Below are 25268 nucleotides of genomic sequence, written 5' to 3'. Positions count from 1 at the left end.
TTTGGAAAAAAGGAGAATATGGTAATTATTAACATGGCATCTGGAATCAGGCTGCCTGGCTTTGAATTCTGGCTCCACCACTTACTAGCTATATGACTTGGGCAATTCTCTTTCTCTAACTTCAGTTTTCTTATCTATAAAATAGAGTTAATAAAGATATCTTCATCATAAGGCAGTTATGAGGATTAAATGAAATAACCTCATATATATGTATATAAATATATAAAGTGTATATCCCAATACCTGGTCCATTGTAAGTATCCATTAAATGTTAACCATTATTATTTTATAAGTGCAATTATATTTTTGTTTCATTTATGCCACACTACAACTAGAAAAGCTACTAGAGAAGATAGAATTACTCAGGTGGCTTGTGTCAGTGGCTTGCATTATATTTCTTTTTGGCAGCACTGCCCTGGACTCTTTTTGCTATGACTGCACTATACACACTGACCTCAAGCATCCAGAATTATACATGGGAAGAAAGTTAGAAAAAAAACAGCATATTTATTGTCTGACAGTAACTGGTTGACCTCCAAGTTTTGGAAAACAGTGTAAATAGATGAGAGACTCTGAAGGTCAAGAGAGTATACTTAGTAAGGTGTGTCTAGTTGGTTTTAATTTTCATCAGTTGGAAATGGCTACAGAATCCAAGCTACTCAGAGTATTCATATGGCTCTCTAGTTTCACAGAGTGCAGAATGACTCTTGCTCACCAAAAGGGGGAGTTTATTGAGAGTATCTTAGAAAGCTCACAGAATTAGAGAAAGATAAATAATTAGGTCTTAAATAAGACAGGAACCAAGGTGACTTGAGATCTGGAAAACTTAGAACTTGGAGATACCCACAAAAGGGTATTTAACTGACAGTATCACCAAGACCATGTCCTAGGGGAAGGGTGGTTCTAGTTGGGATGCTAGTTAGACCAAAAATGGCCTCAAGTAAACAAGCAAACTAAAAACAGGCCTTCTATTTACTCAGCCCTGAATCTCAGAAAACACAGAAGTTACCATTAAAGCAATGAGTGAAACCTGGTGTTTTATAAATGTATATAGACAAGAAAAGGATGAAGAATAAGAAAGGACAAACAGCCAAGATGTCAGAGGAGGAAAATGCCAACAGAAACTATGACTATGGGGGGTGACAGTGGTTAATGGAGAGAAGAAGGAAGATACAGCTCCTGAGGAAAATACTGCTCTGTGGTGCAGTAGCTACCACTAAGCCACATTAAAGGATATGATCGAGTAAAGTGCTCCAAACTGGGACTGAAGGACAGGGATAAAATTTACTAAATGGCTATGTTAAGTCAAATTTTTTTCATGGAGCCCAATTGCATAAGTGTTTTCAAGCTGAATTTGTACCCATTATAGAAGTTCAAAAGATTTAGAAATGGTTTGGTGGGTGGAGGTGGTTTGGAGAGCTGCCTTATTAATATGACAATCTAAGATATACAATTGCAGCACGTCATGCCCCTTATCAAGTAATATTTACTCAAGCAATAGGAGTAAGTGTCTCTGAAAAATCTACTCTCTTGAAAAGATTAGGTTATCTAATTCCTGGCCTTGTGCCCAGTGAAAGAAAAACATTACTGAAATTAAAATAAGCAGGGTTTATGATGTACTATGTATTTATTGGCTATTGGTAGGACACTGCCAGCTATTTTTCTGGCTGTTTCAGAGACTCCCTTCTGAGGAGCACGTTCTCTCAGAAGCTGGATGGTGTTTATGGACCTGGCTCTTTGGTTTGTGGGGATGCCTTGGTGTTTCAGTAGAATCAGAATTATCTGAGTGGTATCTGAGATTCTAACACAACGTAGTCTCATAATGTAAAACTCTGGGTGACGGGAACATGTTCCCTCCCAGAAATATTACATGTTCATCTGTGCTTTTCAAGAAAGGTGCTGATGCACAGAGTGATTTTCTCCCATCTTATTCTGTCACTTTTTATCTAATGATCATTTTTAGAACATAGACTTACTGGAGGAGAGAAAAGCTGTCTATCCATTGACAGTTGTAGAACTCTTTACAAAGATATGGGATACCTGGCTCAAATTCAGTAATGGTATTGTAGGAGAGAGTATAAAATAAAATGTAAACCTACCATCCTGTCTACTATTTAGTTCATTTCCTCCCTCTCCCTGGCCTGGATTATTGCCATCATTTCTCTCTTCCTTCAATTCTTGGTTTCACACCTAAACTTTACACCAGTCCCGCTTCATCTTTCTAAGGCAGTCTTCTTATCCCATCAACAGCTTTCAGTGGCCTCCTATTGCCCACTCAGTAAGTAACAGCTGAACTCCTCAGTTTCTACTGAAGTCCCTGCAAGGTTGGTCTCCTTGCCTCTTTCTCAAAAGCTCCTTCCCTCATTTACAGACCCTGCCCCTTGGACAAACAGAAGTACTTGAGTTTCTTGGACACACACACACACACACACACACACACACACACACACTTTTCTGCCTTAGTCCATGTTGCTTTTTCTGTCATGAATGTCCATGGCATGAATCTTGTCTCTATGTCATCATGACCAATTCCTATGAATTTGTCAAAATGTCGATCTTCCTATGTCCCAGCCACACATTTGTCTAACTTGCTTTTCCCCAGCATTCCCCAGATCAGTATAGAGGGTTCACTAGTCACCATCTGTCTCATTGCTCGGGTCTCAAACCTAAGAATTACTTTAAATTCTTTTGCTTTCTTGACCCCTACATCCAATCTATCCGCAAGTTCTTTAAGCTTTATCACCTAAATATCTCCCAAGTTGCAGCACTTTGCTCCATCTCGTCTGCCACCATCCAGACCAAAGTTCCCATTGTCTACTGCCTGGACTTCTACAGTTGTGACCTAAGCAGTCTCCCTATTTCCACATCTGTCTTTTGACAGTTCATTCTCTACACGGCATCCAGAGGAATCTTCCATAAATGTAAGCCAGTTCATGTTACTCCTCTGTTTAAAACCCTTAAGTGGCTTCTTGTTGATTTTAGAGTAAAATACGACCTTACCTGATCTGCTCCCAGTCCCTATTTCCAAATCTAATTTCACCCTTCCTTTCCCTTGCCCTCACACTTGGGCCACACTTATCTCTTTCCATTTCTTAAAGAAGCCAGCTTATTGATTGCTTGCATTTTCTGTTCCTTCTTCCTGGATCATTCTCTTTCCATATCTTTCGTGTCTGGCTCTCCTTCTCTTTTACAACTCAATTCAGATATCTTCTGTTCAGAAACATTTTTTCCAAATTATATCTACAATAGCTCCTTGTCCTTATTCTATGAAGTCATTCAGGTATTTCCTTTAGAACATTATAGCCTGCATTATTTTAATAATTTATCTGTTTGTCTTAACTGCATATATTATCCACCCCAACTAAATGTAAATTTTTCTTGTTCATTGCTCAACCTCAAATGCCTTACACAGAGTTCTATACATAATAGGCACTAAATATAAGTATTTGCTGATTGGATGAATGGAGGTCTGTCTCAAATGCCACCTCATCCAGAAGGACTTCCTGCTTCTCACATTGAGAAACAATACCCTTCTCTGAAATTTCAGTATGTTTTATCTGACTTCACCTATCAAACTTTATGCCTTTTGGATAGGATTTCAAGTATTAATAAACATGTCTAATTTCCCTTATTGGATTTTGGGGTCACCATCTGTGTGTCTTTTTGGTCTTGAAGTTTTCTATAGTGCCTGCCCTAATGTCTTGAACATAGTAGCAATTCAATATTTTATGACTATCTCATGAAAGTATGAGTAAGAGAAGTATCTGCTCACTGTGGATTTCAGCTAAGGAGAATTTGACCCCAAGATGAGACTAAAGAAATGATTAAAATTCTCGTCTTGCTCTTTTCAAAAAAAAATAAAATAAAATAGATACCCATATCTCTTGCTGACAAAGTTGTAAACATAGTTTTCTGTTTACTCCTTTGAATTCATGTTTGTGGATTGGATGTGGAAATGGTTCAATCCCTAAGCCTTCTTTATGATTCTATCAAATCACAGGGCTAGATCCAGGGACTAAGTTGCCACATTTGTCGCCATTACCCAAAGCTTCAGAGCTTCTGTTCTCACGGCTTTGTGTTATTGTTATTTCTTAATATTTCCCATAGTCATCTTCTTTGTAGGTTGTTCACAGTTACCCGCTCTCATTGGCATGTCATTTTTAAGACAACTAAAATAGCTTTAAAACCAGTGTGAAATTCAAAAGTGTGGCAAACAATCTATGAGGCTGATGTACCAGGTACATCAGGTAAATTAGGCATCCATTCTTTTGAGCCTGGAAGAAATGCCTGACTTAGAAACCTCCAGAAGAGAAAATATATCTTCAGTTTTTTTAAATCTCAATTTTTCTTTGCCCTGGTTTCTTAAATATTCGCTTTCTAGACTTTTAACAACTTGAGAACAGAGACTGTTTTTTACTTCTGTATCCACAGGCACCAGGCTGGGTGAGGCTCTTATTAATTTATTAATTAATACTACCCCAGCTCTTAAACTTTGCTTCTCAGACTCTCTTGGACCGGCCTACGGGATTCTCTAAGTCCTGACCCTTCTGCCTCCCTTGGTCCCCAGCGTCTTTGCACTAACTTTCTGAAGAGCTCCTTGGCCTCCCCCAACCAGATGTCTGGATTCACTTTTGATTCATTGTTTCTCATTTCTGTCCTTTGAAAGCAAACATTATTTTTCTATTGCTAACTTGCTCTGAACAATTAAAGAGACTTGGATGGGAAACTTGGCTTTTACTGGCAGACTTTCTGACAAAACCCTAAGACTGCTAATTATGACTTCTACCTGAGCCAACAGTGTAACGTGAGTGCCAAAAGAGAGTTCATATAGACTGAAACTCATTAATAGTTATCATTTATTGAGTTCTTTACACTGTCCCTGGCACTTTGTTTAGTACCTTGCACACATTACCACATTTGACCCTTTCAATGACTCATAGCTGTTTTCCCCATTTGCCAGAAAAGAAATACGGATCACACAGAGGTTAAATAACATGAGTAAGGTCACAGAAGCAGAGTTAGAATTTGGGCCAGGACTTAAAGCTCAGGCTTTGGAATCCACTATGGTGTCAATAAAAGCTTTATTAATGAAATCATGGTGACCAGAGCATGGGAAATATGAGTTCACCATGTTGAGAGTTGGTGAGATCACACCTGGAATTTTGTGAGATGCCTCATTTTATAAGATAAAAGCAAATTGGTCCAGACTACAGACCACGGACTATCGGAAACCACTGAAAAAACTGAGAGCAGTTTTAACTGACAATTAAAAGCATTGATAAAAAGTCTTCACATATTTGGATTACAGTCCTGTGGAAGAAAAATTCCATGTACTTAACTCATTTACTATAAAAGCCTATAGACATGACAGAAATGCATATTTGGAGTCACTCTCAGGAAAAGTTTTGTGACCATTGTGAAAGTGACAAGGTGGGAGGTCTGGGCAGCTGTCAATGAAGTTGTTACTTCAGAAGTGATGAGGTTTTAAAAGTATATTATTTATTAGTGCATATGTTCAAAGAGAAGGCAGGTCTTCTAATTTCAGAAATCTTCCCTGACACCTCAGCTTCTCCTATAACCACAACCCTTAATTTCAAATGTCTACATTGTTTACATTCAGCATATTTTATTGGTGTCTTCCACGTGGCACTACTTGACACTTATTATCTTCTATTGCTGTTATTCAGCACTTTGAGGCCCCCAATTACCCAAGTACAGTAATTCGTCTTGCTGTCATTATTAACTCCCTAATGATGCCTTGCTAATGGTAGATACCCATAAAGCAGAATCTCATTGATCCTTCATAGAACTTCAGCAAATATTTAGTACTCAGTAAAAATTTACCTCAGTTTCACTACTCACTAGTTCTGTGACCTTGGGCAAGGCAATTCAACTGAATTAAACCCTCTCTGTGCCTCAGTTTTCTCATCTGAAAAACTGAGTAACGAGTTTGTTACAATTACATTTGTTAAATCTGTAAAACTTTTAGAACAGGGCCTGGCACATAGTAAGTACTCTCTCTCATATATATGTATATATATACATATATGTGTATATATATATATATATGTAGTATTGTAATTTTTCAGTTCTTAACTTCTCGGAGATTGATGCATATTTAAGATAAATACATAATTATTAAAGGAGTAGAGAGAGGGGCTAGACAACTGAAGATTTGAAGTTTTGGAAGGACTTTAGAGGTCACCCAGAATAGCCATTTCCATACCCACTGCATATTAGTGTATTTCAGTATTATTAATATAAATGGGAATACTTCCTGAAATTTTAGATCCTAGGCTCCACATAGAATCCTTTTGGGTAGGAATCCGGATTCTGAATCTTCATTAATTTTCCCAGGAATTTTTTGGAAGCTAGCAGATCACTTTCCTCAGATGGGCTCCAATTTTTATAGATGAGAAAACAGGCACAGAGAGGTTGTATTATTTCAGGATCAGAGAACTTGGGAGTGATCAAGTGGGACTAGAAGTCAGCTCTTCTCATGTCTGGGCCACAGGTTGTGGAGGGAATTATTGGATTGTATGAAAAGGTTAGATAAGATGACTTCCAAAGTAAATATACAGTCAGCCAGTCAGTCCTCAGAGAGCTATTGAAAGCCAGTTGCTGAACTCTGTTTCTGGAATGGTCAGTAAAATGAGACATGGCTTTTTTCTGTAGGTTTATAATCTGGTATAAGAAATAAAACCTCTACACAGGTAAACACAGGGCAAGGTGGAAAGCAACAAGGCAGAAGGTCTAGGAAGCTGCCTACCCAGTGTGGGCTGAACTACTCAGCTACCATCTTGCGTTCTGAACATGGTGGAGGAAGCTCTGCTCTTCTCACAGGGGAACCCCCAACCACTGTGGTCCTCTCTTCCTGCCCTTCCAGAGGTGATAACTCACCAGCCACTTGGTCTAGAGTTTATTACCCTGGTCATTTGATCAATCTGAGAAGACCTCCCCTTTCTATTGTCACAGTTTACCATCACATGCAAGTTTCCTTTATGCATTTATGTACTATTATTACTATTATTTTTGAGACACGGTCTCACTCTTTTGCCCAGGCTGAAGTGCAGTGGTATGATCTTGGCTCACTGCAACCTTCTCCTCCCAGGTTCAACTGATTCTTGTGCCTTAGCCTCCCAAGTAGCTGGGACTACAGGTGTGTGCCACTATGCCTGGCTAATTTTTGTATTTTTTGGTAGAGACAGGGCTTCATCATGTTTGCCAGGCTGGTCTCAAACTCCTGGCCACAAGTGATCTGCCTGCCTCAGCCTCCCAAAGTGCTGAGATTGCAGGTGTGAACCACCGTGCCTGGTGTCATTTATGTATTGAATAAATATTGTTGTTATTTACTACTGTTAGCTAACTTTTATTAGTTCCCAATATGTACCAGACACTGTTTTAAGGCATTATCTGTATTAATTCACTTAATTCTATGTCAGAGGAAGAGGCTATCTCTCAAAATCTGAAACAATATTTGAAGCTGAATTGTTTGTTAATCAAGGGAGAACAATGTATCTCTCTGAACAAAGCAAAAGTTGATCCTATACAGAATTTTGGAAGCTATGGAGGGGAGGAATTGGTAAAAAATGCAGAAGTTGGAGTCTTTAGGAATTGACTGGCTTTCAAATTTGGAAGTGTGGTTTCTGGAGTGAGCCTGTGGTCCGTGCGCTGACTTCTAGAAGTCAAATGACTACCATAAAATAAGGGCACAGAAAAAGTGGCTGCGGTAACAAGAATCGAGAGGAAAGGAAAGGGAGGGTCTTGCAGCCAGTTTCCTTTAATAATGAAGAGAACAGAAACCCAGGTTTGCCTTGCTGACTGTTCCCGGGGTTCTTTCAGCCTCCACTGTCTCTTCTCTAGCCCATTAACTGTGTTCTATGTCTATTGCATCCCCAGCCAAAGGTTTCCCCTGCTTAATCAGGTCCAGTCTCCTTGCTGTGCTATCAGTTCAGAAAGGCATACAGACAACCTGCGACGGCATCTCAAGGGAGGAAGACATTATCACTGGTTGGTTAAAGGAACCAGGAAGAACTTTCATTTAATAGTCAAAAAATGTTCATCAAACTCCTGCAAACTGCCAGGCACTTTCTGGGTGCTATGGAAATAACAGTGAAACCGACAGACACAAACTCATGCTCTCACAGAGCTTAACCTTTCTTTATTGGAGAGACAGATATTAAAAAATATATATATATATATATATATTAATTTACGTGGGTATTATATATCCCATGGTAGTCACTGCTCTGGAATCAAAGCAGAGAAAGTAGTGCAGAGAGGTGATTGCAGCTTCATATGAGGTAGTCAAGGAAGGCCTCCCTGAGAAACTGATGTTTAAGGAAAGAATCAGCATGGTGAAAAAGACCACAGATGATAGAGCTGTGTGAGCTTGGAGGACAGTAACAAGATGAGGTTTGAGGTCCATGAGATAATAGGGAAATGGGCCTTTGAGGTTATTAGAAGGATGTTAGCTTTTAGTTTGATGAGGAGTCATTGAATGCTTTAAGCAGGAGTCATCATGTGATCAGATTTATCTTTTCAAGGGAACGTAGGAGGTACTGTGTTGAGAATAGTCCACAGAAAATGAGGGGAAAGGGCGAAGAAAGGTGGTTAGTTGGGAGGCTACTGCAGTAACCCTAGCATTTGAAGGTGGTTTGAACTAAGGTAGTAAAAGTGGGGGTGATGAAAAGCAGTCATATCCTAGGTATAGTCTTCATGGAAGATTCCTCAAATTGAAAGACTTCATTAAGAGCCACTATAAACTCTAGCAGTTAGAATGAAAATTCTGAATATCCTTCCTCAGGAGACCACAGCTTGACCTATTCTAGAGTCTCCAGAGGGCCTTTTCTGACCTGGACAAATGCTGGGGGAGAAAGAGGCACATTATCACATCTGGCTATAAAAATAAAATGTGTCTATCAAAGAAAAGACATCATCTAGACCCATTTCTGTATAGATTTTTACAGTATTTTCTCCTAGATAATTGTGTGAATTATGGGGATTTTTTTTAATTCATTGGTGTGAAGACAGTGATAATTTAAATTTCACTGCTATTCTGGTTACGAGTGGGTGTTGACATTTTTTATTTTATCGTGTGTGTGTATGTGTGTGACACACACACACACGGAACGGGGTGAGAGAAAGAGAAAGAGAAACATAATGAGCAGGCTATAGAGCTGCTGTTATTCCCTGGGTAATAAAAGCTTGAAATCCTACTAATGAGGTTAAAAAAAAAAAATCTTAACTTTTTCTGCGTGCTTAATAATAGCACTGCCTACTCACATAACCAGAGTTCCTGGAATAATTGCTCTCTTTCTTACTCTATTTTTAGGGCCTAAAAAATTTGGGAGGAGAGGAAAGTACCTTCAGGTGCAGAGCATTTCCATCTAAAAGCTCAATTCTAGGGTTTCAATATTTGGCCCTAAACCATGTTAAATGTTTCCTTTCATGTGAAAGTGAGGGCTGGAACTAACATTCTTCATTGGAGCTCTAAATGGCTTCTTTTTCAGTGAGAGGACAAAAGATTGATCCTTTGCTGCAGATTCCATCTTTCCCCAACTGGGGGATCTTCCTGTAACATTTTTATCTGGTGCTTTCATAGACACCATTTGTGTTTGCCAATAACAGAATTAAAGTGTTTGTGGAGCCATAGAATTTTATCAGAACGTTTAACTTTGAGGAGAAGGTGGAGTCTAAGAAATGATAAATGTTAATATTGTTAGAGCCCTCACTAAGAGTAGAAGTGTTTGAAATACATATATTTAGAAGGGTTTTTTTTTGTAGACCATTGGAATATTTAAGATGGATTTAAAATAGAAGATACTGTGTGAGGTACAGTGCTGAAAAGTACTTTAAAAATTGTTTCTGTCAATTTCAACAATTAAATGAACATATACATTATAAGGTGGAGAAACATACTGATTAGAAAAAGAGAATGTGATTGAATCAAAGCTTGTGCTGGAAATTGGTTGAATATCTGGATTGAGTTGCCAGAATTATTTTTGTGGAGGGCTATTTTGGGTAGGCAGTAACCTTTCTTCTCAGATATAGATTTTCATGTTGACTTTTAACATTTAGTCAATGATCGGCATGTACAGTCTTGAACATGTTCCGTCTCATCCTTTTGCCTGTGCTTAAGCTGCAAGGTTGAAAAGTTTAAAGGCATTTAATACAGGCTTAACAAATCATTGTGCTGCTTTCTTTCCTCTATCACTCTCTATGTAGAAAATGGCTGAAAAATTAGGGGCTCTCAGGGACAAAGCAGTATCTGTAATATAGAGGAACATTTAAACATAGAATTAAAACATACAATTAAGATTAGTGACAAGTTTATATCGCTGCTGCTTTTTAAGGAATGATTTGTTAAAAGGGAAAATATGGTATCCCTGACAAATTACGAGAGAGAGAGAGAGTGAGTGTGTGAGTGTGAGAGAGAGTGTGTGTGTGTGTGTGTGTGTGTGTGAAACAGACATGGGCTTATGTTTACGAAGATCTCTTTGTACATGTGTTTGAAAGGTGACTGCAAGAATGAGTAAAATAGGTTACATTTACATTTCTTGGTCTCCTCCACACTCCCTGATGCTAAACAAGATGCTGCAAGAATGAAAAATACAACTTTTGTGTAAACTTTGTAATCTAGTTCATAGAGAAATTGGCCAACAGCTACACGCACCTAAAGGAAGAGGGGACATACATTTGGAGAAACATATTCATGTGTGCTAGTTCAAGAAGGAAGCAGCTAGCTCTTTGCCTTTGAAGATTTCAATATTCACTTTGTTGAAGGTGACCAGGTGATCCCTCTTAGATACTTCGATAATTCAGATACATCCAATACAAGATGGATCTTCATAAAATTCAATTTGTTATTTCAATCTGGAAATGCATTATCTCTTCCTTGAGGAAAATAAATTGTGTAAGGACAGGTGCTATTTTCTTTATCTCTGCCCAAAGCTTCATCCTAGGGCTCAGAAATGCTAAAGGACTTTGTACAAGGAAATGAAGCTAAAAGCTTGCTACCTTAATTATAGGATTTGTCTACTCAATGCACCAGATTCTGAAAGTTAAAACCACTATTGTATGATATTGTATTATTTATATTTTAAGGGGATACTGACAGCATAGAGGTGGTGTTAATTCTAGATAAAATCTGAAGGGCTTTCTCCTCATCCTTTTCTCCAAATGCCTAACTCCTGTTCCTCCATCTCGAACTCTCCTGTGGTAGAGTGACGGCTGTCTCTGAGGAAAGGATTAGGGAAATCACTTAATCATTTGTGCATGTGTAGAAATGCCAATGAATATTTACTCTCTCCTAGGGGCAGTTGCTTTGTGAATCAGCATTCTAATTATGGAAAACATTTTTTTTCAACTTCAAACACCATCTAGCATGGGAATTGTATGTGAATGGTACCTTTCCCCATCAGACCTGAAATTGCACTGAATTAGGAGGTCATATACTCCATGACTAACTCAGCCCAGTACAGAGTGACATATATAATAAGGTAGATTTACTTAATCCATAAATTGTGAGCTTTCTTTGTAAAATTTTCCTTAACTATCATACCATGGTGTGTCATAAGAAATTGTCAGCTCAACACCTCAAATGATGCCTTCATGTATTAAAAGATGTGCCATCTGAAGCTGGGATAGTGATGCATTTTGTCCCGTGCTTTGTTATGTGGTGTAATTAGATTATCTCTCAAACACAATTTGTTTGCTTGCTTCCAGGAGATATTGATCAACAAGAGATGATTCCAAGTAAGAAGAATGCTGTTCTTGTGGATGGGGTTGTGCTGAATGGTCCTACAACAGATGCAAAAGCTGGAGAAAAATTTGTTGAAGAGGCCTGTAGGCTAATAATGGAAGAGGTGGTTTTGAAAGCTACAGATGTCAATGAGAAGGTAAAAATTAAAACCTGTAAGAAATTGCAGAAATGGGAAAGATAGATGTTCCCCAAATCAGTATGGCTGAATAGAAAGCAAATGGGAAGGCCAAGTTTTTATTTCTTCTATGCCTTTGTCTCAAAAGGATGTCCAGATATAAAAGTGTAGGCTGTCCTTCAGGCAATTCCTGCTGTCCTTGAAGGGTTGCCTCCTTACTCTGCCAGTCATCATTCGTGGGAAGATTGGCTGAGACCCTAGAGCTTAATCACATAAGGACATGAAGCACAGGGATGAAACTTCCTGCACCCTAGATAATAACATAGATAAGTAACCTGCTAATCTCACTTACGCAACTCTCTAATGCTCTTTGCTCCCCATTTTCTAGTGCACACTCTTCATGTTGTTCATGAAAATCAAGCAAAAGATGGAAAAGGATGTAAAAACATTTTAAATTTATCTTAAGGTCCTTATGAAGAGCTTGTCTAAATTTAGCCTAGAAATCTTAGGTGGTTAAGTCTGACTCCTTTCTGGTACCAATTATTGGTTGTAGATTTCAAATTCAGGCTCAAATTCAATTCAAATTGATATTAGAACCGCCGCTAATGACATCTACTCTTAAGAATACTTACTATGTTCTAAGGACTACTCCTTATGCATTTAATCCTTTCAAAAGCACTAAAAGGCAGATACTATTACCCCCATTTTAGAGCTGGGAAAGAAAGTCAGGCACAAAGAGGTCAAATATGTTGCCCAAGATTATACACAAGTATCAGAGCCGGGACTAAAATCCAGGCAGTATCACTTCACAATCTGCACTCTTAACTATTCCATATGCCTCTTAAAATTACCGAATCAACCTTTATCACATTGGTTTTCATGTTGGAGGTGGATTATCAACAAATGGATGTAAGGAAGAGATTTTTATTCCAGTTATATTAGTTAGAAATAAGTATCATTTTTAAAAGATTTTGAAAGTGAGGTGATATTTATTCTGAATTTTTGATCACATGCCTTTCGGAAAACTAGTAGGAAAATAGATTGATGCATGAATTTGGAAGTTATGTTCAAGGCAAAATCCTGATGGTGTTTGGTATTTGCCCAGATAGCATATTTATAATTATATAATTTCTGTTCTTCTCTGTACTTGTGAAATACTTTGGATCTGCTTTACATTGGAGTACACTGCTCCTCTGGCAGTTTTTTTTATTGGCCTTTATTCAGTCATTAAATATTAACTGAGTATTAGCTATGACTAAAGCTTTATATTCAGCCCTAGAGAATATAAAGAAAAACAATATAAAGGCCCAGCTCTGAACAGAATTTATAATCTAATTGGAAGGATATGTTTTCATTAGAAAAGGCAGCGGGGGGTCCCAGTAAGGATGTGATAAATGCTTTGAGACTGGAACAGATTTTTGGGATTTCACTCAGGAGCGAGTACTTTGAGCTCAGATGTGGAATGTAAGTAAAGGGCAAGTGAGAATTTTGGGGGGCAGTGGCAGGGGAAGAGAAAGTTTGGCGTTAGGGTACTCATTTCTGGAGGAAGAAAGCAGGAAGGTCAATAATGGAAAGAGCATTGCAAAAGGACAAGATGTACTTAACACAGCAAGGGGACCATTTTTTGCCCAGAAAAAAAGAGCTCACACAGGGGACTAATAAGATGAGAAACGGAAGATCTTAAGATCCTAAGTTGTCAATTAAGGAACCACAAGTCAATTACAATGTAATAGATGTGCAGGCTACCCACGGGAAGTTGGATTGAAAGCTATGCTAGAGTTGGGGGAAGGAGGTGAAGTTTTGATACCACTAACTTAGCCTACCTTGTTTGAGATCCAACAGAGCACCATTAAAAGGTAGCCTGCAGATATATACCCAAGCTTGGTGCAGTGATCACTGCTAGTTTCATTAGCAGAAAATTCTTCATCAGCCAGTTTTTAAAACTGAATTATAATTTATATTCAGTAAAATTTACCCCTTTGGGGTGTGGTTCTATGAGTTTCAGAAGTCATAACTATTACTACGATATGATGGAACTGTTCTATATCTTCATTAGAATAGTTATATAACTATTCTGTGCCCCTCTCTAATCAATCCTCCCCTTTCCTCTAGCCCCTGAAACCACTGATTTTCTTTCCCTATGATACTTGCCTTTTCTAGAATGTCATGTTGATGGAATAGTATTTTAGTAGGCTTTGAGTCTTGCTGTTTACCCTCAACAAAATGCATTTGAGATTCATCCATGTTGTTGAATGCGCCAGTAGTCATTCCTTTTGATTGTCTCAGGCATTTCCAATTTACCTCTGCCTGTCATGGTTATAGCATCATAGTTTAATTTCATACTACTTGCACAACTTGGTATTTCCTCCTGCTTCCCCCCAGCCTCCCAGTCTTTTCACTCCCTGGCTACTTCCCTATCTCTCTCCTCCCCTCCACAGCCAAAATTTTTAGAGATTATCTATATTCCCTCCCTCCGTTTCTTCACCTCCTACATTCTCACTTCAAAGCAATCTGGCCTCCGCCCCCACCTCTCTAAGTCAAGCTGCTCTTGCCAAGAACACCTCCTTGTTGATAAATTCCATGAGCACTTCAAGTCTATCTAATTCGGCTTCTTAGCAGTATTTGACAGTGGTGAACATCTCCTTCCTAAAGCATTCTTTCTTCTTGGTTATGGTAGCACTAAACTCTTAGGATTCTCCCTACCTCTCTGGCGTGCCCTCCACAGGACAGTCAGGCTCCTCTTCCTATGCCCATTCATAAGTGTTGGTGATGCCCAGAAAGATTCTGCTCCTTTCTGCCCTGCTGTAGGTTCTCTCTGAGCCACATCAACTACTGTTACATTATCATAGTGTCTCCCTGGAACTCTGTCCTCAATCTTTTGCAAGAGCCTCAGATCAACTGCTATACAGCTTTTGGATATTCTGAAGGTGCCTTGTCCTAAACCTGCTTTCACCTCATCATCCCCACACCACCCCAACCAGATCCTTCTCCTGCTATCCCCATTGCTGCCATCCAATCTTGTGTCCAAGCTGGAAACCTTGGGATGATCCTTGGCTCATTCATCTCACCCTCAAAATCTAACTGATTTCCAGGTTCTAGTGATTCTGCATTTTAAATATCTCTAAAAACTACATATTTAATACAGCATTGACTGTCATCCAGATCATCACCTTCTCTTGCCTGGCTTATTACAGCAACCTCTTATTTCAAATTTTATTGGGAACCTCCACATAACAACTAAAGCTATTGCCCCAAACACAAATATGATCCTTTCATTCCCCTGTCCTAAACATTTTAATGGCTTCCTTAGAGCCAAGTCCAAACTCTATAATATGTCACATAAAGCCCATTATGATCTGAGCCTTGCTTATCTCTGTTTATCCATTCAGTTATTCAACACATCTTTATTGAGCACTATTATGTGCAGACTCTGTGGTAGTCACTTGGGATCAGTGAGCAAAAAGACAGATCTGCTTGTATGGAGATTATGTAGGATACAATAAGTAACAGTATATTAGAGGGTGATAAGTGCTTTGTAAAAAGGAATAGTAGGAAATGTTAAAGGGGATTGATAGAGGTAATGGGTAGATTTTAATTTTAGGTAAGGGAGTCAGGATTGCTGTTGTTGAGAAAGTGACTTCTGAGCAAAGATTTGAAATAAGTGAGGGATTCAGTTATGAGGATATTTTGAAAAACATTCTAGGCAGAGGGCACACACAGTGCAGAGACCCCAGTATGGGAACCTCCCTCGTGTAGTTAAGAACAGTAAGGAGGCTAGGGTGTCAAGAGCAGAGTTAGCCAGAAGGAAAGTAGTCCCAGATGAGACTAGAGGAAAAATGAAACCAGGAGAAGCAGATCGTAAAGGATCATTTTATATCTTTGTAAGGACCTCAGGTTTTACTTTGAAAGAAACAGGGAGCCATCAGATGTATTTGAATAGAGGAATGGCCATGGCTTAAGTTTAGGAGGATCATTCTGGCTGCTAGGTCGATAGCAGACTGCATAGGGCCGGGTACACACAGAGAGAAAAACTGCTTCAGCATTCCTGTTTATTTCCTCTCCATTTCTCAAAAATCCATGTTCAAGCCATACCAAATGTACTTGATTTTACAGATGTGCCATAGGATCCGAATTTTTTATCTTTTTTAATTTTACTTTTGATCTTTGTTACTTCTGTCACTTCCATCTAGAACCTCCCTAAACTTTGATTCGCTCTACTCTTATTCTATGTAACAACTTAGATATCAGTATCACTAGGAAATCTCCCTTTACCTTGCAAATCTAAGATGGCGCCCCTCATTGGTCCCATCAACATCTACATTACTGTAATAGTTCTTTTCGTCTGAACTATAGTTGCATGTTTAAATCACCCGCTGCCCAGAAGCTTTGTAATGGTAGAGTCCACGTTTGTAACATCCTCTCAATACCTGGCTATGGTGGATACTCAATTTGTGTTGTGGTTGAATCTCCAGGTGTGTGAATGGAGGCCTCCTGAACAACTGAAACAGCTTCTTGATTTGGAGATGAGAGACTCAGGCGAGCCACCCCATAAACTATTGGAACTCTGTCGGGATGTCATACACTACAGTGTCAAAACTAGTAAGAACTTTAATTTACTTCCTTGATCTGTACCTCTGACAAGTTCTTATGTTTGCAAAGCCTCTCAAAGCTGAGTATAGCAATGCTTATGGAACGAGAAATCTGGATCAAAAAATTAGTAGTTCTGATGTTTTTGCAATGGTCCCTTTAATCCCTAATCCAGATTCATTGCCAAGGCCAAAGATAAGTTGACAGGAAAACTGTAGGTGTTAGTGTTTGTATGTAAATATCCTCTTCTCCTTGCCAACCCCCACATACTAGTTGTAATCAAGATCATATATTATCACTGCTACTTATCATTTCTTGTGTTAGACCAAACTGGCAAATAGTATTTTGATTATATAAATTTGTTAAGGGATTTTAAATCTTGATGGCCCAGAGTATGCAAAAAAAGTGTTCAAAAGGTATCTTTAATATAAACAGAAATGATTTATTTGGAAGACACTGATTAACTCTTGGCAGTTGGTAATTGCCAAACTATTTGATCAAATCTGGCTGTACCAAAAACAAATAAATAAAAGCCCTTAGATGGATATAAGACAAATGAATACATTCCAAGTTTTTGATGAGATTATTTCACAGTGATGTCATAACTACTGTGAACTTTGTACGTGCAGTAATGTGATGTCAATCTTACACTGAGGCACCATTCTAGCTTACCTGTTAATATCCTGTTCATCCAGCGAACAAGTTTCAAAAATGGGAGAATAATCTTCCAAAATATTTGTCAGTGTAATGTAAAGGTATCTAGCGCTTAAGATCATACAGGCATTACTTTGTAAATTCTGACACTGGACTAAGTTTAGTGGAAAGAACATAGTAAAATTCTGGCTAAAAATAATTGGATTATATTCCTTTGGGAAAGTCTGGTGTATGTATCAAAAACTCAGTTAGCATTTCAAAAGCAGAGATATGTATCTTATTATTACCAGTGCATGTCAAAAGTGCAGAATGACATTTAATGCAGTAGATTTTTCAGTTTACTGGATATTTTCCATGTTACCATGGAAATCAATCATAAATTAACACAGAACTAAAAAAAACTTATTAAAATTACTTGTAGCAATGCCGTTTTTTTTTTTTTTGCCAGATCAGAGGAAGTTTTCCATGTTTAAGCTGAAAAGACATTTTCTTTTGAGACTTGTTTTTTTATTGAACCCCTAAAGAGAGAAAAAAAAAACTAAAATAAACTAAAACCAGATGCTGTAAGTTGTAATGAGAGGTCACCAAATTAAATGATTCCCAAATACTCAAATGTAGAAATAGACCTCCTGCCTCTTTGTTCTGTCATGCTGAGCTTCCTGAGATTGAGAATGCCAAGCCAGTTAGCCGGGTGTATGGTGTGATTATTCACATGGTGTAAAGCCAAGAACCTTTATGAGACCTTTTATAGGAGGGGGGAAAAAAATTAAAATTGGAACAAGCCATTGTTTGTCTCTTAAAGGCGATTGCATTTCAAGCAAATTGAATCAGAAGTGTATGTAAGCCGCATAGTGAGTCACATCTTACTCCATCTATATACTGCCAGTCGCATGGGTCCAATCTGAAAAATGAAAAGGCTGCTCAGTGCCATAGCCTGGGGTGAACTCTGCTGTGAGTGAAATGTATATGAAGTGAGAAGTTAATATTGATATTTTCAGAAAAAAAGGCAGTACCCTGTGATCCTTGGACAAATAGTGTTCAAATAATTATTTAAGGGTTCTGGTTTGGGTCTGGGTTGTAAAAAAGAGGAGCAAGTAAATCAAAGCTCTTAAAAGACAACTCAGATTTTACTTACAAACACTGACCAGTAGAAAGGGCTCTACGATGTGTCTTCAACATGTTTTTCCTTGCGCATGATCCTGTTTTGGATTTTTTTAGAATGAGGTATAATTTATATTCAGTAAAGTGCACAAATCTTAATTGCTCGGCATGATGAATTTGTACGTAGCTGTGCATATGGAGCCATCACCTGGATCTAGATATAGACCAATTCTAGCACTCCAGAGGCTCTCTGAAGTCCCTTCCCAATCCATAATTCTTTCCACAAAGTACCTAGAATTCTAACCGCCATCTCCTTAGATAGCTTTGTTGGTTTTGAATGTCATATAAATGGAATTACGTTATATATAACTCTTCTGTGTGTGTCTGCTTTCATTTTCTGAAAGATTCATTTATGTTAATGCTGTATCAGTAGTTTTTTTTTTTATTGCTGCATAGATGAATACTCCATTTTAAATTTACAGACCACCCAAGATTTTTCAACCAATTGTATGCTGGACTTGATTATTACTCCTTGGTGGCCCGATTTATGACCGAAGCATTGAATCCAAGTGTGTAAGTGCCATGCTATAGAAATTTCACACCAAACGTGGATTAGAGACTTTAAGTAGATGAAATTTTATTTCAAAAATCTCTATTTAATGGTTTCTTTTGCATAGTGCCATCGCAAATAATGGAATAGTTTTATGATACTTATCAGTATTCAAATAGCTATTTGATTTAAATAGTGGTACCGTGAGATGGAAAAGGCAGTCATTATTATCTCATTTAATGAGATTTAACAGATGAGAAAATTGATTAGGCAATTTTTTATTTGTTCTTGCATGAAAAGTCATTTTCTGTGCTAAGTGATGGAGAGACATATTGAACACAAATAAACCTTGACTCTGCCCTCATGGAGCATAATATCTGGTATAAAAATGCTAATCGAAGTGGTCCACAAAAATTAATGTAAAATCCAAACTCTCATCTGAAGGAAAAGTACAAAGTGTTCTAAGTATTCATATGAATGGGACAATTTTTCCTAGTTGGAAGCTCAGGAGAGTGTGCTCTGCAAAGATGACAGTTGACACTGAATAAGTGTTATTAGGTGATAAGGTGAGGGATGAGTTCTAAATAGACAGAATGACATGTATAAAGGCCCTGTGGCAGGACACAGCATGCCATTCTCTATGAACTGAAAGGCCAGTGTGGGTACAGCTGAGAGAGTTACAGGACTGTAGTGGAGAATAAGACTAGAGAAAGAGAGAGAGAGATAGAAGCCAGACATATAGGGCCCAGGTGACCATGTTTATGAGTCTTTCTAAATGTAACAAAAAGCCATTGAAGGTTTCTAAGTCACTAGGTGCCATTTTCTTACTGAAAAAATCTCTAAAAATATAAATAGGTTGGAGGGGACCCGTTAGGAGGGCATTACTTTAGTCGGGTGAGAGAGGAAAGTAGCTCGGACTTGGAGAGAAGAGATAGGAATAGAGCGGGAAAGAATGAGTTCAAAAAATAAAACAGAAAGGATGGGATACACAGCTTGAAAATAACAGTAAAAGGGAGAAGACTCCTGGGACAATGCCTGGGTTTCTGGCTTTCATAGCTAGGTTCATGGTCATATCATTCATAGAAATAAGCACTGGGAGAGGGAACTGGTTTTCAAGTATATGGTGAAGGAGGCAAGAGCAAGCATTACATTTTCAGTTGTGGGCATTTGAGTTTGCAGTGACTTTAAAATATCCAAGAATGCATAGGAACTAAGCTGAGAAATATATGGGCTTGGAATTCTGATGTCTATATGAAAGGTATAAACTTAAGAATTATCAGTGAAATTATGGTAATTGAAATGGTGGACGTGGATGAGACTTCCTATGTCAGTGATTCACCACCCTGACTATTCATGAAAATCACTTGAGAATTTTATAAAAATGTATTGATACCTGGGTGCCAACCCAGGCCAATTAAATCTGAAATTCTGTGGCTGTGCCCCATGCATTGATATATTTAGAAAGTTCAACAAGTGATTTCAATGGGAAGCCAAGATAAAGAACCACTGCCTAGGGGACAGAGTATAGAGTGGGGAGAGAAGGCGGCTCAATACTGGGCCTTGAGGACATCTAACATTTAATGGTTAGGAGGAACAGGGTCAGCTTACAATGGCGAGAATAGAAGGAAAAAAACAAAAGGCTAGCTGTGGCAGCCACGAGGAGAGCATGCCTAGTGTCACATGTTGTTGAATATTCAACTAAGAGCCTAAACAGCATCCACTGGATTAGCTACATGGACGTCACTGGCAACTTTAGGGAGGTTTTGATGGAGTGATGACAGCAGATACCAGGTTACAATCAGTTACAGTGAGGGTAAGTCAGGAGAGACAGTAAAATTACACACCTTTTTCAATCTTTTCTTGTATATCCCAGGTTTTCTAACTCTTCATCTAAGTTCAAAAATCTCTAAATATTTCAGATTAAAGGAGTGTTAAATTGCTGCTAAGCTAAACCATCCACTCAAAATATGCCAACCCATGAGTGTGTTCTATCTTATCTTTTCCTCCACCCTCCAGGCTGATTCCTAGGTTTATAATTGAGCCAGTTTTCAAAGACAGGCTAAATACTTTTTTTTTTTATTATGAAAGTAACTATTTTATATATATTTGTAGGTTCACATAAATATATGCTTTTTTCATACTTTTTGTGTATGTACACTGGCTTCATAACGTGGTTAAGAAACAGAATCTATCTTTTTAAATTTTGTTTTGGAGATGAAATCTTGCTCTGTTGCCCAGACTGGAGTGCAGTGGCATGATCTCAGCTTACTGCAACCTCCGCCTCCCAGGTTCAAGTAATTCTCTGCCTCAGTCTCCTGAGTAGCTGGGATTACAGGCCCCTACCACCATGCGTGGCTAATTTTTGTATTTTTAATAGAGATGGGGTTTCACCATCTTGGCCAGGCTGGTCTTGAACTCCTGACCTATGATCCACCCGCCTTGAACTCCCAAAGTGCTGAGATTACAGGCATGAGCCACTGCACCCAGCTGAATCTATCTTATTTTTAAGATGGCATAACATCTGTAGAGTTGACACATATGTAGGTGATAAATAGTAGGTGATACATAGTAGGTGACCAGCTTTTATGCCTCAATCCAAAGTTTTCCTTTCCAGATGTTAAAATAATTGCATTAAATTCTGTGACTATAAATCTAAATGTGTCTGCTTAACTTACATATTTAGAGTACACATTTATTCAGATACAATTTAATGTAATCCCTCAATTGAAAAGGAGATCATAGATATGTAGTCACCCTCAAGTTGTCTGGAGAGAGAAAATAAATATCAAACAAGGCATGGTGACTGTTACAATGTGGGTTCCCAAGAATGCTGCTCTAGATGGTGTTTAGTGAGTGGGACGTTTATTAAGGAGTACCCTTGGGATCAACATGAGTGACGACCTGGGGAAGGAGGAGGAGGATGCAAGAAAGGGCAAGTATAGGAGTCAAATTGCCACGCAGGCTCCATGACAATCTTGGCTGACGCTCGGAGATCTCTGGAACTACAGTGGCCCTTCAAGAGGGGTCTGGAGTTAGGCCCAGACGGCTAGGCCTTTACATCTCCAGCAGTTATCAGGTGTAGACCACCACAAGAATGGGTGTGACCCTGGAGGAGGTAGCTCCCTGCAGCCAAGGCAATCTCTAAAGGGGCTAAAACATCAATGCTCTGACAACAGCGTTCCAGCCCGGAGCAACACATCCTTCATTGACAAGGGATTTGGGTAGTGCTTTGCAGTAAAATTATCACATAAGAGATGTCTCACAAAACACTCCTCATTTATACAGACACAGAGAGTGTAGTAGAGGAAGCCCTGGTTCAGGTGGAGTAGTCTCCACTTAGAATATCTAGAGGGGACTGTTAGCATACTCATGGCAGTAATCTGATAAAACTTGGTTACCATGACAATGGATTTTCTTTGACCATCAACAGCATCCAAGTCAGTGTTCCAAGCATCCACAGAGTGAAATGGCCACTGCTCATGGCTAATACATAGCACGCAAATGCATTGCCTTTATTGCTCCTCACGGAATTGAGGTTTTTCTCGAAAGACTGCTGCAGCAACTTGCAGATCCCTGAGGCCACAAGCTATTGGCATTTATCTAACCATGACTAGTGCTGTCACTGATGGAGTAATTCTCTATTTTCAATGGATAAATTTCCAAAGACTGCCTACACTTCAGCAGCCACTTGGTTTAATAGAACTCTGTGCATTTCTTGGGACACCAAAGGAATGTTTTGACTCTAGTCATAGAAGTGAAGTGTTTTTTATATCTATCTAGTTATACGTATGAGGTGTCCCCAGTGTTTCTGTTAGTGGAAGAAGCGGTTCTGAAGAAAATGATTGAATTTATTGGCTGGAAAGAAGGGGATGGAATATTTAACCCAGGTGAGTACAATTAGTTATTGATATCAACCTTCCAATACAACCACGTAAAAATTTATCCATGAGGAACAACTCCTTGCAGATTTATACACGACAAAAAGTTGGATATTAATAATTCTACTTGCTGAGAATCTAGCTTATGCCTTTCTCCAGAGTGATAATATTTTGTATTAATGCTAAATAGATGACATACATACTTAATGAATGAGGTGCCTACAGTTTAGGATTTATATCTAACACAAATGAATCGATTTGATGCTGGAAGTTTGGAAGGGCTGTAAGTCCTCTAAATTTTAAAATCAAATTTTACTTGAGAAGATTTCTGAATTACATTTGTTTATCCTGTAGTCCTTTTTTGTAGCCAGAGACCAACAAATATTATTTCAATTTTATTGATTAGGTGACAAAGAATATTAACTATGGAGACCTAGGTAAAGGCCCTAAGTCCAGAGCTCACAGATTGAGACTTTTGGTTTGAAAAAAAGCCTGTCATGGGAATAAACCAAAATTTATCTTCTAAGAATAAAAGTTCTAGAATTAGAGATTAGGGTATGTAATAAAATATTCAGAATAATGGGAGCAGGGAGGTCGGTGTTCATGTGCTTTTCACGGTGATTTTTCATTAGACTAGAGCAGTCATGGCCATTCATGCTTTCCACTGTATTCAGCATTTTGCGAGCTATAACTTCATGCTATAAATATGCCATTTTAATTTTGTTTTTGCAGGTGGCTCAGTGTCCAATATGTATGCAATGAATTTAGCTAGATACAAATATTGTCCTGATATTAAGGAAAAGGGGCTGTCTGGTTCGCCAAGATTAATCCTTTTCACATCTGCAGAGGTAAAAATTATTTTTGGTATTGAATATAGATTTTCTGAGAAAGCATATTTAAGAGGGCTTTGTTTGAAGATTCCTGATGTGATTTTGTCCTATACCCATGTGACTAATATGCTGCAGTATAACATAGTATTTCATTCCAAAGTAAATTCTAACGAGTTTGATGTTGTAACGCCTGGTCCAATTTTGTATAATTACCTTTATTTAAAATTTATAGTCTGTAACAACATTTTAAGAAAAGAATATTTAATTTGAAAGTGCTATCTCTGTGAATCTCTTTTTTTGAATGTCTTATTTGTTAGTACTTAGATGAACACTGTGGATCTCAGCTATGTCTTCTACTCACATTTCCTTTTAAAATGATTGCTTTGATTGGCTAATATAAGGGATGTGTATCTTACTTTTCCAGGGAAAAGAAAGATATACAGTAACAATGAAAACACACACACACACACACACACAGATATTGCCACAGTTCTCCATCTCTTATTTTACTCTCCACTAAAGTAGGTGGGTCAGACAGTAGATAAGCGCATAGGCTTTGAGTTAGGCTGCCTGGATTCAGTCCCTGCCTCTGTCACTTACTGTCTGAGTAACCTTGAGTGAGTTAATTTCTTTGTGCCTCAGTTTCCTAAATTTGTAAAAATAAGTTTATCACTTAGCTTTTATAACCAACAAATCACCCCAAATATAGAGTTATCATTCTATAACTGTATATTATCACTTATAAGTCTCAAGATAGCTGGGCAGATTTGCTGCTCTTGGCTGGGCCCCCTTCCATGTCTAGGGGTTGGCTGGCTGATGGCCCATCTACGAGTGGCTCAGCTGGGATGATTCCAGTGATGCCTCTCTGCTCCTTATGTCTCTCATTCTCCATCAGGTCAGTCTAGGTGTGTCCTCATGGCAATGGTGCAGGTATAAAAGGGCATGGCAACACATCAGGCCTCTTGAGTCTTAGCCTCAGAACTGGCCATTGTTACTTCTGCCTCATTTTCTTGGCAAAATCCCATCTGTGAGCCCAGACCCAAGATGTGGGAAGAAAGACCCCACAACCTCATGGGGGGACTTGCTGTAAAGTCACCAGGCAAAGGATTTGAATACACGGAACAGAGAACAACTGGAACCATTAGAACAATCCAGCAACCACGCAGTAGTTGCTGATTAGTGAGTTTTGGCAAATGTTAAATGAGTAATTGCATGTAAAGTGTCATCTGGGATATAATAGATTTTTTAAAATATTAACTATAATTGTTACTAGGAGAATGTTCCAGCTGCAACAAGGTGGGCAGAAGTAGATGGCACGGCTTAAGTGCAGCCTTTATTGGAAGAGATTTTTTCCCTTTCCTATTCTTGTGTGATTCTAGTGGATGCCTCCGTCTATTCTACCACTGCTTCATCACCCAGGTTCTTGGCAGAATGAGTTTAGCTTCTTACCTTCTGAGATAATATCAGGTATCCTGCCACTAACATGAAGTGGACAAAATAAAAAACTGAGAGTCTGTTATTTCCAGCTAGGCTTTCCTGTATCTATCATTTTCTTCTAAATACAAAAGTTAGTTTCTTATTGCAAAAGGACAAATTGTGCACTAATTTCTCCTCAGTAGGAGAAAATATGACCACTCTCATGTTTTCCTCTCACTCTGACCTTTGCTCTGGATCTTTCAGCACTAAGTGCAAAGTGGGAGTTGAGTGACAGGAGGCAACTGGGAGGAATCATCTAGCCTGAGATTCTTAACTCAGCCATTCGAGGCTCTTGTTCATAAGTCATTCCTTC

General features: G+C 38.5%; 1 protein-coding gene across 3 annotated transcripts in view; it reads left to right on the top strand.

The window, feature by feature from the left end:
• GADL1 (glutamate decarboxylase like 1) overlaps positions 1-25268 on the top strand; it is a 168465-nt gene that overhangs the window by 21169 nt on the left and 122028 nt on the right. For all 3 annotated transcript variants that reach the window (NM_207359.3, XM_017006297.2, XM_047448071.1), the window contains exons 2-6: positions 11728-11900; positions 16352-16478; positions 18704-18794; positions 22552-22658; positions 23382-23497. In NM_207359.3, the coding sequence (NP_997242.2) occupies positions 11728-11900; positions 16352-16478; positions 18704-18794; positions 22552-22658; positions 23382-23497 (614 nt within the window). The remainder of the gene's footprint in view (positions 1-11727; positions 11901-16351; positions 16479-18703; positions 18795-22551; positions 22659-23381; positions 23498-25268) is intronic.

Source organism: Homo sapiens, chromosome 3 (genome assembly GCF_000001405.40).
Source record: "Homo sapiens chromosome 3, GRCh38.p14 Primary Assembly".
Lineage (NCBI taxonomy): Eukaryota > Metazoa > Chordata > Mammalia > Primates > Hominidae > Homo > Homo sapiens.
Note: the sequence above shows the minus strand (reverse complement) of the source record. Positions and strands in the feature narration are given on the sequence as shown.